The sequence below is a fragment of the Homo sapiens genome, chromosome 2 (assembly GCF_000001405.40).
Source record: "Homo sapiens chromosome 2, GRCh38.p14 Primary Assembly".
NCBI classification, from domain to species: domain Eukaryota; kingdom Metazoa; phylum Chordata; class Mammalia; order Primates; family Hominidae; genus Homo; species Homo sapiens.
Window position 1 is genome coordinate 85,374,159 of NC_000002.12, and position 15,979 is coordinate 85,390,137.

General features: G+C 44.8%; 1 protein-coding gene across 29 annotated transcripts in view; it reads left to right on the forward strand.

Moving 5' to 3' along the window:
• Window positions 1-15,979, forward strand: part of ELMOD3 (ELMO domain containing 3) — a 36,980-nt gene that overhangs the window by 19,390 nt on the left and 1,611 nt on the right. For 24 of the 29 annotated variants that reach the window (NR_138132.2, XM_047445971.1, XM_047445972.1 and 21 more), the window contains 2 exons: window positions 3,186-3,316; window positions 15,593-15,669. Coding sequence is in view for 26 of the 29 variants with exons in the window: in XM_047445971.1 (XP_047301927.1) it covers window positions 3,186-3,316; window positions 15,593-15,669 (208 nt within the window). In the remaining 3 variants the exon portion in view is untranslated. Of the gene's footprint in view, window positions 1-3,185; window positions 3,317-3,786; window positions 3,866-12,939; window positions 13,068-15,592; window positions 15,670-15,979 lie in introns of those variants that run through there. The other 5 variants (XM_047445977.1, XM_047445978.1, NR_138131.2 and 2 more) reach the window with 4 other exon arrangements.

The following is a 15,979-nucleotide window of genomic DNA, read 5'->3' on the forward strand; positions in this document are numbered from 1 at the left end:
TGATCTCTCCCTTATAAGTAAGGAGTTCATATTCTCTTTCTGCTTTCAAAATATTTTTTGTGCCAGGCATGGTGGCTCACACCTGTAATCCCAGCACTTTGGGAGGCCAAGGCAGGAGGACTGCTTGAGACAAGGAGTTCAAGATCAGCCTGGGCAACATTATGAGAACCTATCTCTACAAAAAATAATTTTTTTTTTCTTGAGATGGAGTCTCACTCTATTGCCCAGGCTGGAGTGCAGTGGCATGATCTCAGCTCGCTGCAACCTCCACCTCCTGGGTTCAAGCAATTCTCCTGCCTCAGCCTTCTAAGTAGCTGGGACTACAGGCCTGTGCCACCACACCCAGCTATTTTTTGTATTTTTAGCAGAGATGGGGTTTTACCATGTTGGTCAGGCTGGTCTTGAACTCCTGACCTCAAATGATCCACCTGCATGAGCCTCCCAAAGTGCTGGGATTACAGGCATAAGCCACCATGCCTGGCCAAAAAAAAAAACTTTTGTTTAGTAGCCAGGTGTGGTGGCGCATGCTTATAGTCCCAGCTACTGGGGAGGCTGAGGCAGAAGGACTGCTTGAGCCCAAGAAGTCGAAGCTGCAGTGAGCTGTGATAGCACCGTTACACGCTAGCCTGGGTGACAAAGTGAGACTCTGTCTCAAAAGAAAGATCTTTGCTGGCCGGGCGCGGTGGCTCATCCTGTAATCCCAGCATTTTGGGAGGCCAAGGCGGGTGGACTACGAGGTCAGGAGTTCGAGTCTAGCCTGGCCAATATGGTGAAACCCCATCTCTACTAAAAAAATACAAAAATTAGCCAGGCATGGTGGCATGTGCCTATAGTCACAGCTGCTTGGTGTGGAGGCAGAGGTTGCAGTGAGCCAAGATCGTGCCACTGCACTCCAGCCTGGGCGACAGAGCGAGATTCCATCTCAAAAAAAAAAAAAATCTTTGCTTTGTCTTTGGTTTTCAGGAATTTGACTGTGATGTGTCATTGTGTGGATTTATTTGGGCCTCTCCTGTTTGAGGTTAGCTCAGTGTCTTGAGTCTGTAGGTTTGTGTCTTTTGCCACATTTGGTCAATTTTCAGCTGTGATTCCTTTGAATACTTTCTTCAGCTCCACACTTTGTCCTCTCTTGTGGGATTCCAATGATACAAATGCTATCTTTGTTCATTTTTTAAAATCTTTGTTATAGCCTCAGATCTCCAAGGCTCTGTTCATTTTGGTTTTTGTTTTTCTGTCCCTCTGTTGTTCATATTATGTTATTCTATTATTACTGTCCCATATTCAAGTTCACTGATTCTGTTGTCTCCGTTCTCCTGTTGACCCCATCCAGAGAGTTTTTAGTTCTAGTTCTTCTATTTTTCAGTTCTAAAGTTTCCATTTGGTTCTTCTTTATATCTGCTGTTTCTTTACTGAAACTTTCTATTTTTTCATTTTTTCAAAGTGTATTTGTTCATAATTGCTTACCAAAGGCATTTTATGGTAGATCCTATAGTCACTTTCTATCATTGCTGTAACAAATTACCACAAACCTAGTGGCTTAAAACAACACAAATTATTGTCTTATAGTTTTCTAGTTCAGAAGTCTGACTCAGGTCTTACTGAGAACCTGTGGTCAAGATCAAGGTGTTGGCAGCACAGTGTTCTTTTTGGAGGCTCTGGAAGAGAGTCCATTTCCTTGCCTTTTGCAGCTTCTAGAGGCCACCTCCATTCTTCCATCTTCAAAGCCAGAAACAGCATCTCTCTGAGCCCGATTCCTCACATCTCTTTCTCTGGCTCTGGGCTTCCGCCTTTCTTTTCCACTTTTAAGGACCCTTCTGATGACATTGGGCCCACCCAGACAGTCCAGGATCATCTCCCTCTCTGCTGATCAGCAACCTTAATTCTACCTGCAGTCTTAATCCCCTTTGCCATGTTACATAACATAGTCATAGCTTCTGGGGACATGGTCATCGTGGGGCGGGGGGATTATTTTGCCTACCACGGCTGCTTTAAATTCCTTGTCAAATAATTCCAACAACTGTGTCATCTCTGTTGGTGTCTGTTGATCATCTTTTCTCATTCGAATTGAGAATTACCTAGTTCTTGGTGTAACAACTGATTTTTTATTGTATCTTAGACATTTTGGGTAGTCTGTATGAGACTCTGGATCTTACTTAAATCTTCTACTTTAGCAGGCCTCCCCTGTTACTGTGCCAGCAGGGGAAGGAGGGACGTCACCATGTTACTGCCAGGTGGGGGTGGAAGTCCGGGTATCCCACTTGGCTTGCAGTAATACCAAGTTCAAGACCAGCCTGGCCAACATGGCTGGTGGGGCCAGGGGTGCCTCGTTACTCTTCCTATGTGGCTTCCACATTGCAGAGGAGGCAAGGGGGCTCCTTACCACTGGGAAAGATAAAGTCCCAGCTCCCTGCCCGGCCTTCTCTGACGCTACCCTTGTGGAGCTAAGGGGTGCCTTGATACAGTTAGGCCAGGATGGAAGTCTAGGGTCCCTGCTCAGCCTTTTCTGGAGAAGAGTGGGGATGGGGCCACATTTTTCTCTGTGGTGTTTTGCTGCAGTAGGGTGGGTATTGGCTAAAGCCTTCTGTCTTGCTACACTGCCTCTTTCCCCACCCTTTGGCTAGAGAGAGCAGCTTTCCTTGGGGCTTTTTGGTCTGCTCCCATTGGCATTTCTGGGTTGCTGTCTTCTCCATCTGGGATATATTAGGCAAAAAGAAACCCAGGAATTCACCAGAGAGTCATTTCTCAGCTCTCAAGATTCCTAGTAAGTCTGTCTTCCCTCCTTTCAGAGCCTTCTGTTTATTTTATATAGTAATGTCCAGGGCTTTAGCTGTACTTAGTGGGAGGAATAGGCAGAAAGTGCATTATTCATCTTGTTCCAGAACTGTAAATTCAGCCTTTTTTGTAAAGGATTGCTTTGGTGGTTTTGTGTAGAAGTAACTATCAAGGGTCATAGGCAGCAGCAAGAAAACTGATGTGGGAGGCTGCCTCCAGGGCGCTGGGGTCCCCATTTGGTGCATAGCCCCTGCTTAGCTCATTAGAATGAGCCCCACAAGTGTGGCAGAAAGTGGACGTGTGCTGCTCATGCTCCGCTAGCCTGGGAAGAGGCCAGTGTCAGGGCAGCTTCCCATGGCAAGCCCTTGAAGCATTGCTCGCTGCCACACCCTGTTTCCTCACGGTCTCTGTTACAGGAGCGAATCCAGCCACAGACCTGAGAGGCGCAGGCTTCCTTGCCCTCCTGCATCTGCTCTACCTGGTGATGGACTCAAAGACCTTGCCGATGGCGCAGGAGATTTTCCGCCTGTCTCGTCACCACATCCAGGTGAGACTTTGGTGGGAAGCCAGAGGAAAGGAAAGGGCCGTGGAGCTAGGACCTGAGTGGCCGAGAGGGCTCCCAGGACAGCTGAGATAAACCAGGAATGGGCTTCCCCGTCAGTCTGACCTGCATTGAAATATGAGCTGTACCGCTCATTAGCTGTGTAGCTCAAGCAAGTTCCTCGACTCCTCAGAGCCTTGATTCCCTCATCTGCAGAATGGAAATCATAGTGTTGTTAGAAATGCTTGTTCTTTGGTGCCGTAAAGAAATAGCACTTGAACATAAATTTAATTTCTTCAGCAAGGATTTTTTTTACTTTCTGCAGAAAGGGTACACTCACTAGCAGTTTTGCCACGAGAGTACACTGAATAAATGAGACAGGATCATTTATAACTTGACCCATATACTTTACTGCTGTGTCCGGTTTCTATTGGCTGGAATGGGACTTCACATTCGTATTTGTCTTGATTGGCTAGCAACTTAGAACTTTTTAAAAGAAGCAAAGGAAGAGGAGAACAAAGGAAGGAAGAAATAACTTGTGGAATGCTGAGAAAGGTAAAAACACCTTCAAATAAGGAAGAAGAATAGGCTATGACTTAATGCTTGCTTGGACCAGTATAAGCATGCCAGGGCAAATATTTAGGCTAAATTGTGGGAGCTAAGAACATAAAGTACAGTGACTTCTTCATTATGGCTAGCAGATATTTAAGAACGTTAGCAGAGGTCTTTGAATAAATTTTGCTTCTAAGAGAAGTTACTATTTATCTTAATTAGATGGGGAGGAAAGTCTTTGAAGAGGAACGTCTACTTTACTTTTTACAGTGTGACCCTGAAAATCTGAGGTCTCAGTTAATTTAGAAAGTTTATTTTGCCAAGGTTGAGAACACATGCCCGTGACACAGCCTCAGGAGGTCCTGATGATATGTGCCCAAGATAGTCAGAGCACAGCTTGGTTTTATACATTTTAGGGAGACATGAGACATCAATTAACATATGTAAGAATGAACATTCATTCAGTCCAGAAAGGCGGGACAACTAGAAGCAAAAGCGGGAGGACTCGAAGCAGGGAGGGGACTTTCAGGTCATAGGTAGATAAGAGACAAATAATTACATTTGAGTTTCTGCTTAGGGTCTCCAAAGGAGGCAATCAGATATGCATTTATCTCAGTGAGCAGAGGGGCAACTTTGAATAGAATGGGAGGCAGGTTTGCCCTAAGCAGTTCCTGGCTTGACATTTCCCTTTAGCTTAGTGATTTTGGGGGCCCAAGATATTTTCCTTTCACATTTTCCCCCTTTTCTTTTTTAAAATCTTTTGGAGAAAGCATTTTAGAAGAAAATGAATCTCTGGTCTTAGGTTTCATCTGATCTCTTACGGCTAGGATGGTTTATTCCTAGACGGATAGGTCCCCGAGTTATTAGGAAAGTTCATTTTTAGAAGGTTGTGAAGTCTCATGTCCTATGAAGAGAAAATACGGGGAGGAAGTGAAAACAACAACAACAAACAAAAGAACAATCCTGGATATCAATATAGGCCACATTCTTCTGAAGTCTATACATCAGTAGGCAGGTATGAAAGTGGCTTATGTATGTAAATAGGTTGCTGTTATTTTCTTCTGAAGTTGTCTGGCTTCAGTTTGCAGGGCTGTAAGAAAGTACGGCTTAATTTTCAGTGACTCCAAATTAGGAAAATGGAAAAAAAAAGGAGGAAAAGAAATTTAAAACATTATTTTGTTTTGTTTTGTTTTGTTTTTTTGGAGACGGAGTCTCGCTGTGTCCTGTTGCCCAGGCTGGAGTGCAGTGGCGCGATAGCACACTGCAGCCTTCGCCTCCCAGGTTCAAGTGATTCTCCTGCCTCAGCCTCCTGAGTAGCTGGGATTATAGGCACATGCCACCACGTCCGGCTAATTTTTGTATTTTTAGTAAAGACGGGGTTTCACCATGTTGGTCAGGCTGGTCTCGAGCTCCAGACCTCGTGATCTGCCCGCCTCAGCCTCCCAGAGTGCTGGGATTACAGGTGTGAGCCACCGTGCCTGGCTGAAAACATTATTTTGAAGACTTGTAGCCAAGAAAAATTAGAATTCAGCCCAAACTGTAGAAAATTATTAAAATTGAAAAACATTAGGCAAGACTAGGATCTAATGACAGGTGTACTATAGTTTTTGAAACATAATTTTTCTTTCTCCAGTTTCCTGTTTTTACTAAAGACAAATCATGGTAGGACCGATTTGCTTTATAATACTTAGCCAGATTATTTGTATAAAGTACAGCAAGAATAGTTATTTTTCACATAGGCTTTTTTTAAAAATTGGCTTTGATGGAACTTTGTTATATAGAAGGAATCTCAGGCAAGACTTTTTTTTAAAGCCAAGCCTTGCCATGGATTTGTACCATCAAATATCTATGAGTTGGGTGAATTTCCTCTCCTCTTGAGGTTCCAGGATAAACCTGGGGCTCCTGGGCCTGCCATAAAGTAACATTCTTTACTTAACACAAGTCAGAAACCCTGTTCAGGGACTGTGTACACAAAATATGAGGCCAGTTTCCCAAGGGCGTTATTGGCTTCATAAATCAAGTTTGAGTTCTTAAAAGAAATGACATGGTTCCAGTCAAAGCCTTGGTAAAATAATTAGTTTCTCCAGTTGTGTCCTATTAGCAGTGAAAACAGATTCTTATTGTATTTATGCAAATAACTGTATTGCCATAAATTAAGAATACTCACAAATAGTTTCCAAATTCTGGAGAACTCAGGTAGAGAGAAACAAATATGTTCCAAATTTTGGTCATAGCAGTATACTAAATTGTTAAAAGCTGTCAATAGCTCAAAAGAGAAGTTTGAAGACTCTGAAAAACAAAACAAAGGATCAGCAACGTTTTAAGCAAAAGGTCAAAAAAATTAGTTCAATCCATGCAGTTAATTCCTGTTCTGCTTTGATATTCATGAACATTTTAGCTCTCCATGAGTCTGAAAGTTTTTCCTCTATTCTGATGTCACAATCTCCAAAGTTATCAGAAACCTGCATTCAAGAGCCCCTGTTAGAGTTTTAAGATGATGATTATTATTTATTTATTTATTTTTAGACTACTCTTGCTCTGTCGCGCAGGGTGAAGTGCAAGTGGTGCAATTTTGGCTCATGGCAACCTCCACCTCCCAGGTTCAAGCGATTCTACTGCCTCAGCCTCCGAGTAGCTGGGATTACAGGCACCTGCCACCACACCCAGTTAATTTTTGTATTATTAGTAGAGACAGGGTTTTGCCATGTTGGCCAGGCTGGTCTTGAACTCCTGACCTCAAGTGATGTGCTCGCCTCAGTCTCCCAAAGTGCTGAGATTACAGGCATGAGCCACCATGCCTGGCCTTTTATAGCTGATTATAAAACCACCTTCTAAAGAGGACCAAACAACACAACAATTGTCTGTGGATGACAAAAAGTTTTAGGGAAGCCATTGTTGAAGACCCAGTTGACAAGGAAATTTGTTATCTCTGTGGCACAGAATAATTTAACATAACAATTATAATTATTACTGATAATGTACACTAAGTTATATCAGAATTTTAGGAGTTTCCCATAATTTTGGAACACATACCAATAACACATTTATACAAATACAGCCCAAAGAAAATCGTACACCATTTCATATTTGACAATGCTTCCTGTATAATTTTTATACCAAATAAGCCAAATTATGTCATTTTTGGACTTTATGGAGCCTAATATCTTAAAGGATTTATCAGGTCAGAAAAAGACATAATTTATGATTTGATTTTGGAAAGTTTGTCAAATATCAAAGGTTTAAAACTTGATATCACAAAATAGGATCACAGGTCATTATAAGATAAGTCATTCTTTTAACCAAAGCAATAACTCAAGGATTTCAAAAAGAAGGTGAAAATCTCCATTCCTTGAGAGCGGAGACTTGATTTTTCAATCAATAAGCCCTAATAAAAACAGCATGAAGCCAATTAAATTTATTTTTCAAAATTTTGTAAACAATCTATAAAATTTTAATCTTGACCATAAGATATAACTTCCATAAGCCTTTTATAACCTTTATAACCTTTATTAAGGGGCTGGTTAATGCTTCAAGAAAATCTTGTTAATCTGATGCAGGGGCTCATGTGCTGCTTTTGCATCAGTGTGCCTTTGACATTCATGATTAATTTATAAAGAAACTTAACCTATTTTATCTTTAAAAAATCAGCTCTTGCAATCTCATGCACCCACCTCTTCCGCAATAGTCCCTGGGCCTTGAAGAGTTGAGTAGCTTTAATTTCTGGCCCCGTGTCTTAGGAATGCAGTTTATTCTGATTGGCATCTTCTACCAGGCCTGAAGATGAGGCTTTAATTGCTGTCAATGTTTAAGATTTGGGCTGGGCGCGGTGGCTCACACCTGTAATCCCAGCACTTTGGGAGGCCGAGGCAGGCAGATCGTGAGGTCAGGAGATCAAGACCATCCTGGCCAACACGGTGAAACCCCGTCTCTACTAAAAATACAAAAAATTAGCTGGGCGTGGTGGCGGGTGCCTGTAATCCCAGCTACTCGGGAGGCTGAGGCAGGAGAATGGCGTGAACCCAGGAGGTGGAGCTTGCAGCGAGCCGAGATCTTGCCACTGCACTCCAGCCTGGGTGACAAAGCAAGACTCCTTCTCAAAAAAAAAAAAAAAAAAAAAAAAGATTTGGCAGGACATAGGGCTGGGTGCAGCGGCTCATGAGTGTAATCCCAGCACTTTAGGAGGCCGAGGCGGGCAGATCACGAGGTCAGGAGGTCAAGACCATCCTGCCTAACGTGGTGAAACCCCGTCTCTACTAAAAATACAAAAAATTAGCTGGGTGTGATGGTGGGTGCCTGTAGTCCCAGCTACTCAGAGGCTGAGGCAGGAGAATGGCATGAACCTGGGAGGCGAAGCTTGTAGTGAGCCGAGATTGTGCCACTGCACTCCAGCCTGGGCAACAGAGCGAGATTCTGTCTCAAAAAAAAAAAAAAACATTTGGCAGGACACGGTGTTCCTTTTAGACCCAGGAGTTAAAGCCCTGTAACTCAATGTCACAAGGACTTTTTTTTTTTGAGACAGAGTCTCACTTTTGTCACACAGGCTGGAGTGCAGTGGCGCAATCTTGGCTCACTGCAACCTCCACCTCTCGAGTTCAAGTGATTCTTCTGCCTCAGCCTCCCGAGTAGCTGGGACTACAGGCGCGTGCCACTATGTCCATCTAATTTTTGTATTTTTAGTAGAGATAGGGTTTCACTATGTTGAACAGGCTGGTCTCGAACTCTGGACCTCAGGTGATCCACACGCCTTGGCCTCCCAAAGTACTGGGATTACAGGCGTGAGCCACCGCGTCTGGCCAGCACTTTAAAAGCACATACAGAAAGATACACGGATGTAATAACCTTAATTTAAAAACAAGACAATTCAGTTACTTATCTAGGGATGGGTCTCGGGCTGTAGACTCTACCATCCCAGAAGCAGGAAAAAAAAAAAAAAACAAAAAAAACTCATCTTCCCTGTTAGAAGTGAGCTCAAACTCCATAAAGAAATTACCTGCCTTCCATTGTCATGGAAACAGGAAATCTTACCTTCCTTGTTAAAAGCAAGTAAAACTCCAAAAAAAAAAAAAAGAGGAGTTGTACAACAAAATAAACTTTAGATCTTTTTTGTTTTTTTGTTTGTTTGTTTTGAGATGGAGTTTCACTCTGTCACCCAGGCTGGAGTGCAGTGGCGTAATCTTGGCTCACTGCAACCTCCACCTCCCAGGTTCAAGCAACTCTCCTGCCTCAGTCTTCTGAGTAGCTGGGGTTACAGGCGCCCACCACCACGCCTGGCTAACTTTTGTATTTTTAGTAGAGACAGGGTTTCACCATATCATATTGCTTGATCCTGGGAGGTCGAGGTTGCAGTGAGCTGTGATTGTGTCACTGCATTCCAGCCTGGGTGACAGGGCGAGACTCTGTTTCAAAAAATAAAAATAAAATGGAGGGATTGCTACATTTTGCTACTTGAGAAAACCATAAAACCCAACCCCAGAGGGCAGGTCCAGACAGAGATAGAGAAGCTACTGGTCTCAGGCTGGTCTTGAACTCCTTACCTCAGGTGATCCACCCGCCTTGGCCTCCCAAAGTGTTGGGATTATAGGTGTGAGCCACCACGCCCAGCCAAAGATCTTGAACAAATTTGGGGAGATCAGGGATTCTCTGGAGGGTGTACTCCCAGACCTCAGCAAATTGTTCTGTTGTTTTGAGCCATAAAGTTAGCTCATGCTGGTACCAAGCATGGATAGGAGATTTGTCAAAGGCCAGGGGTACCTCCACTCAGAATCCCTCTGTGGTTACCAAAATGTGAACCCTGAAAATCTGAGACAGGTCTCAGTTAATTTAGAAAGTTTGTTTTTCCAAGGTTGGGAATGCGCACCTGTGACACAGCCTCAGGAGGTGCTGATGACATGTGCCTAAGTTCATCAGAGCACAGCTTGGTTTTACAGTTTTAGGGAGATATGAGACATCAATTAACACATGTAAGATGAGCATTGGTTCCTCCGGAAAGGTGGGAGGACTGGAAGCAAAAGCGGGATGACTGAAAGCAGGGAGGGGGTTTCCAGGTCATAGGTAGATAAGGGACAAATGGTTGTGTTCTTTGAGCATCTGATTAGCCTTTCCAAAGGAGGCAATCAGATATGCGTTTATCTCAGTGAGCAGAGGGGTAACTTTGAATAGAGTGGGAGGCAGGTTTGCCCTAAGCAGTTTCCAGCTTGACATTTCCCTTTAGCTTAGTGATTTGGGGAACCCAAGATATTTTGTTTTCACAATAGAAACTTCAGCTGGCTCATTGGGAAAATTAGAGACAATGTACAAAAGTAGCAAGCACAGCTGTGCTGTTGCTGTTTCAACTCTCTGCCCTCCCTGAGGAAATGCCTTGCACAGGGGTAGCATCTCTTGGCCCTGAAAGAGAAGAGTTAGCCTCCACGGGCCCAAGAGGAGGAGATGGACCTCCATGGGTTATGTGAGCCACAGACTTACCAACAGGCCAGAGGTGCTTCAGTAGCTCCTCTGTCTCTGTCTGGACCTGCCCTCTGGGGTTGGGTTTTATGGTTTTCTCAAGTAGCAAAAGGTAGCAATCCCTCCATTTTATTTTTATTTTTTAAAACAGTCTCACCCTGTCACCCAGGCTGGAATGCAGTGGCACAATCACAACTCACTGCAACCTCTACCTCCCAGGCTCAAGCAATCCTCCCACCTCAGCCTCGGCTGGGACTACAGGTGTGCCGTACCATGCCCAGCTAATTTTATTTTTTTAATAGTCTCTCCATTTTAGAAAACAAATTTGACCTGTTTCCTGCCATCTGTCTATCCCATATTCATGGGACCTAGGATTCATTCATTCACTGAATGAATATTTTTTCAGCATCCCTTGGTGCTATTCTTCTTGGTACTTGGGATACATCAGTAAATAAAACAAAGATTCTTCCAGCAGAGATGACCATAAGCTCAATATATCAATACATTATAGAGTGCTCTAGAAGGTAATAAGTACTAAGGAAAAATAAATAGGATAGAGTTGAGAGAATGTGGAGAGACAGTTACAGTATTTTTATAGGGTGGTCAGGGTAGCTGTCATGAGAGAGTGAGACTTAAACCAAACCTTGGAGGTGGGAATGTTAGCCAAGCTGATATCTGGGAGAAGAACATACCAGGCAGAGGGATTAGCTAGAACTAAGGTCTCAAGAAAGGAGTGTGTCTAGCATAGGTAATGAGTAGTAGGGAAGCCACCGGAGTGAAAAGAACACAGGAAGTTTCACTCATGTCTGTATGAAGAGACCACCAAACAGGCTTTGTGTGAGCAACAAGGCTGTTTATTTCACCTGGGTGCAGGCGGGCTGAGTCCGAAAAGAGTCAGCGAAGGGAGATAGGGGTGGGGCCATTTTATAGGATTTGGTTAGGTAGTGGAAAATTACAGTCAAAGGGGGTTGTTCTCTGGCTGGCAGGGGTGGGGGTCACAGTGCTCAGTTGGGGAGCTTTTGAGCCAGGATGAGCCAGGAGAAGGAATTTTACAAGGTAATGTCATCAGCTAAGGCAGGAACAGGCCATTTTCACTTCTTTTGTCATTCTTCAGTTACTTCAGGCCATCTGGATTTATACGTACAGGTTTGGGCCCAGAGGCCTGACAGGAAGGGCAGTAGGAGAGGTGGTCGTAGATGATGGGCCAGAGGGCGCAGGGCCTAGCAGGCCATGGAAAGGACTCTAGGTTTTACGCTAGGTAAAATGAGGAGGCACTGCAGGGCTTTGAGCAGCAGAGTAACACAGTCTAACTTACTTTTTTTTTTTAATGGATCCTACCAGCTGCTAAGTTAAGAATAATTTCCAGTGAGGGCTTTTGTAGTAAATTAGAGATGATGCTGGTTTGTCAATCTCCCCTTCCAGCAGAGGAATGTGTGGGTAAGAGAGTCACAATGTTTCTGAACAAAGCCATAGCTCCTAAGTGGTGAAGCTGGGCCTAGAGCCCCTGTTTCCTGACAGCTGGCCTGGCGGTGGGCTCTGTACAGCATTGATTCCCAGCCAGCAGCACACCCTGAAAAGTCACATAGCAGTGGGAGTGCAGATGCTTAGACTCTCCCCATCAGAACCACTCAGTTGGAATCTTCAGGGTTGGGGCCAGGTCAGCAGCAGCCGCAGAAGATACTCTGGTCTTCCTGCTTCAGCAGACAAAGGTTTCTAAGCCCAAACGTGAGGCATGAGGATAAATGAAATTGTAAATGGAAGCAGAAAAATGTCCAGGTCTGAGTTCCTCTGCTGTGTTTTAGTCAGTTTCAGTGCAGTATTTTAGCTCTAAACAATGCTTTTTAGGTCTGAGGGAACTGCTGAAGGAAAGGAGACATTTAGATCTGAAATCCAATTTTTACCATTTTTTGATACGTAGGCTTTTTTTTTTTTTTTTTTTTTTTGAGATGGAGTCTCGCTCTGTTGCCAGGCTAGAATGCATGGCACAATCTCAACTCACTGCAACCTCTGCCTCCTGAGTTCAAGCGATTCTTCTGCCTGAGCCTCCCAAGTAGCTGGGATTACAAGTGCCCACCAGTACACCTAGCTAATTTTTGCGTTTTTAGGAGAGACAGCGTTTCACCATGTTGGTCAGGCTAGTCTTGAACTCCTGACCTCAAGTGATGTGCCCACCTCGGCCTCCAAAAATGCTGGGATTACAGGAGTGAGCCACCATGCCTGGCCAATCAGTGGGCTTTTTAAGAATGTTCCCGGGCTGGGTGTGGTGGCTCACGCCTGTAATCCCAGCACTTTGGAAGGCCGAGACAAGCAGATCACCTGAGGTCGGGAGGTCGAGACCAGCCTGATCAACAGATCAACATGGAGAAACCTTGTCTCTACTAAAAATACAAAATTAGCCAGGCATGGTGGTGCATGCCTGTAATCCCAGCTACTCGGGAGGCTAAGGCAGGAGAATCGCTTGAACCTGGGAGGCAGAGGTTGTGGGAGCCGAGATCGTGCCATTGCACTCCAGCCTGAGCAACAAGAGCGAAACTCCGTCTCAAAAAAAGAATGTTCCTGAGAATGGATGAACACTAAGTTCAGGTCCTCTGTTAATAATGTTGTTACCATACTGTTTTTCTCATATTTATTTTTAGATTGAAAGAAATCAAGGGAAGGGATGATATTATGCAAGTATATATGATCATTAAATAGGCAATACCTGAAGGTACAGAGGTATACATGAAGGTCAGCATCAATGGTGTTCTCAGCTACCCATGTTGAGGCAAGTATAATAACGACGAACATTTGTTAATACCTACTTGGGCCAGGTGTTGTGCCTAGTACTTTGCACATGTGATCTTAAGTAATGCTCACAGCAACTCTGTGAGGTGGGTAGTGGGATAAAATGTTAAGTGTTGACAAAATCTGTCTCATAAGGCCAGGCGCAGTGGCTCATGCCTGTAATCCCAGCGCTTTGGGAGGCTGAGGTGGGCAGATCACTTGAGGTCAGGACTTCAAAACCAGCTTGGCCAACATGGTGAAACCCTGTCTCTACTCAAAATACAAAAATTAGCTGGGCGTGGTGGCACGTGCCTATAGTCCCAGCTATTTGGGAGGCTGAGGCAGGAAAATCCCTTGAACCCAGGAGACAGAGGTTGCAGTGAACCGAGATCACGCCACTGCCCTGCACTCCAGCCTGGGCGACAGAGCAAGACTCCATCTCAAAAAAAAAAAAAAAAAAAAATCTGTCTCTTGGAGTTGTTGTAATGATTAGTGACTTAACTCTACCCAGTGTGGCACTAGCGCTGGATTTCCAAGACCACCTGCAGGTTCAATGATTCCTGAGAGACTCAAGGGACTCTACGTATAGTTATACTTAACAGTTCTGATTTAGTACAACAGAAGCAAAATCAGCAAAGGGAAGAATTACATGGGACAAATTCCACAGGAAACCAGGTGGTGATGTCCAAGAGGCCTCTCCCAGTGGAATCACACAGAACACACTTCATTCTTCCACTGCCAAATTGTGCAATACGTATAAAATGTCACCAATCAGGGAAGCTCATTAGAGGTACCCAGTACTCAAGGTTTTTACCATGACATGCTGGTCATGTAGGCACCCTCTGCCTAGCACATACCAAAACTCTGGAATCACAGAGGGAAAGCTGGTGTTCTGCATAAAGTATCTTTTTTGTGTTTGTTTTTTTGAAAAAAAAAAAATTTTTTTGTAGAGACAGGATCTCACCATGTTGCCCAGGCTGGTCTTGAACTCCTAGACTCAAGTGATCCATCCGCCTGTAATCCCAAAGTGTTGGATTGTGAGCCCTGGGCCCAGCCAGCAAAAACTATCTTGTTTGCATGAGCAGTTGAGGAACAATGTTAGGGAATGATGGGAACCATCTCAAAATCCAAGTTCTCAGCTGTCAGCCATGGCCTGATCTAAGAATTTTCTAAGGCTCAGGCTCTAAGGAGTCTCAGGCCTGCTGTGTTAACTTTTTTCTGCACAGCACTCAAAGTTTATGTCCTTTTTGATTTTGAGAGATGGGAAGACTGAGTTTCACAGAGGTTGGGTGACCTTCTCAAGGACACACAGCTACCAGGTAGCCAGGCCAAGATCTGGAATTCAGGTATCATGGAAGACCCTGAGAAAAATCTCTGTGGAGCCAGAAGACCTTCTGCAGTTCAGCACTGTCCAGAACTTTCTGCAGTGACAGAAGTGGTCTAGATATTGGAAATGCACCATCCAGTACAGCAGCCACTAAGCACACGTGACTACTGAGCACTGGAAATGTGGCTAGTACCACTAAGGAGCTGAATTTATATTTGTTTTTCATCTTTAACTCATTTAAATAGCTACATGCAGCTGGTTGCCACCATACTGGGCAGTACAGTTCTATACTATAATGTAATGGATTTTTCTTCAACTGGGAAGCAGGTGGGATAAATAGACCTTGGTTCTTGTTCTGTACTAAGGAATGCACTGGTCTATGTGTTCCTCTCACTGGGTGTCCTTGTGTATGTGCAACAGGGGAAAATAACATGTCATGTCTGCAAGTTCCCTGAAAAAAAGGCCCTTTCCATTCAGGGATTTTGCAAGCTTGGTTTCATTGTTATTAAAGAAAGGAGCTTGCCTGACTAAACATAGAGCATTAAAGCTGTCCCTGTAGGGGATTCTGAGGCCCTTCCTGGTGAAGCTCCCCTGCCAGACTCAGGCTGCCTCCTCTTGGGGTCTGACCCGCACAGCTGGCTCTCAGGCCTCTGTGTTATCGTGAGATGGGGTGTCCCCCCAAGTCAGGATGACCTTCTACCCACGTGCGTCTTCTCTGTCTTAGGATGAGGTGCTCACGATCAGCCAGACAACCAGAAGCCCAAAGAAGGGGAGAGGAGACTTTAAGAACCCGTAGGGCTAGTTAGAGCACCGAGCCTCTCACTTCTGTCTTCATCCTGACACCAGGAGATGATGTGGGCCCAGGGGTTGGGTCTGCTGCAGGCCAAGGAGAGCTGACGGGTCAGGATGATGAAGAGGCTGGAGAGCTAGCACGGGGGTTATGCACATCAGCTCTGGAGCAAATAACCTCAGTTGGTATCCTGGTTCCCATGCCTTAGGAAAGTTACTAAAGGTCACTGAGCCTTAGTTCCTCATCTGTAAGATGGGAAGAAGATTATTAGGAAAATTAAGTGGAAGCAATAATAATATCAGCTGTTGCCTCTGGGGCTGTGCTTGCCTGCGAGCCACACCAGGCTGCAGATGACAGGAAACACAGTGAGAGCTGGAGTTGCTGCTGACTGGGTGCCCCTCCATTCCAGCAATTCCCTTTCTGTTTGATGTCCGTGAACATCACCCACATTGCCATCCAGGCCTTGAGAGAGGAGTGTCTCTCCAGGTGAGTCCCCAAACACCAGCTGGTTAGAGTGACCCAGCAAAGCCTTGTTCGTCCCCACTCTGGCTTAATTTTCCCCAGCTCTACTCCACCTGCTGGCTCCTGGAGGGCCTGGACAAAGTCCCCATGCACCGGTCTCCCCAGGACATCCCTTCTCCCACCCCTGGCCTTAGATGTCAGGCTCCTGGGGAATGGTGGGGGCATCCTGGGTTTGGGCTGGCTCCCCTGGGGAAATGGGGAAGGAAGGCGGGAGGGAACCTAGGTCTCAGCCTTCATCCACCGCTGAGCAGGTCACCTTGCCTTTTTCCTGCAG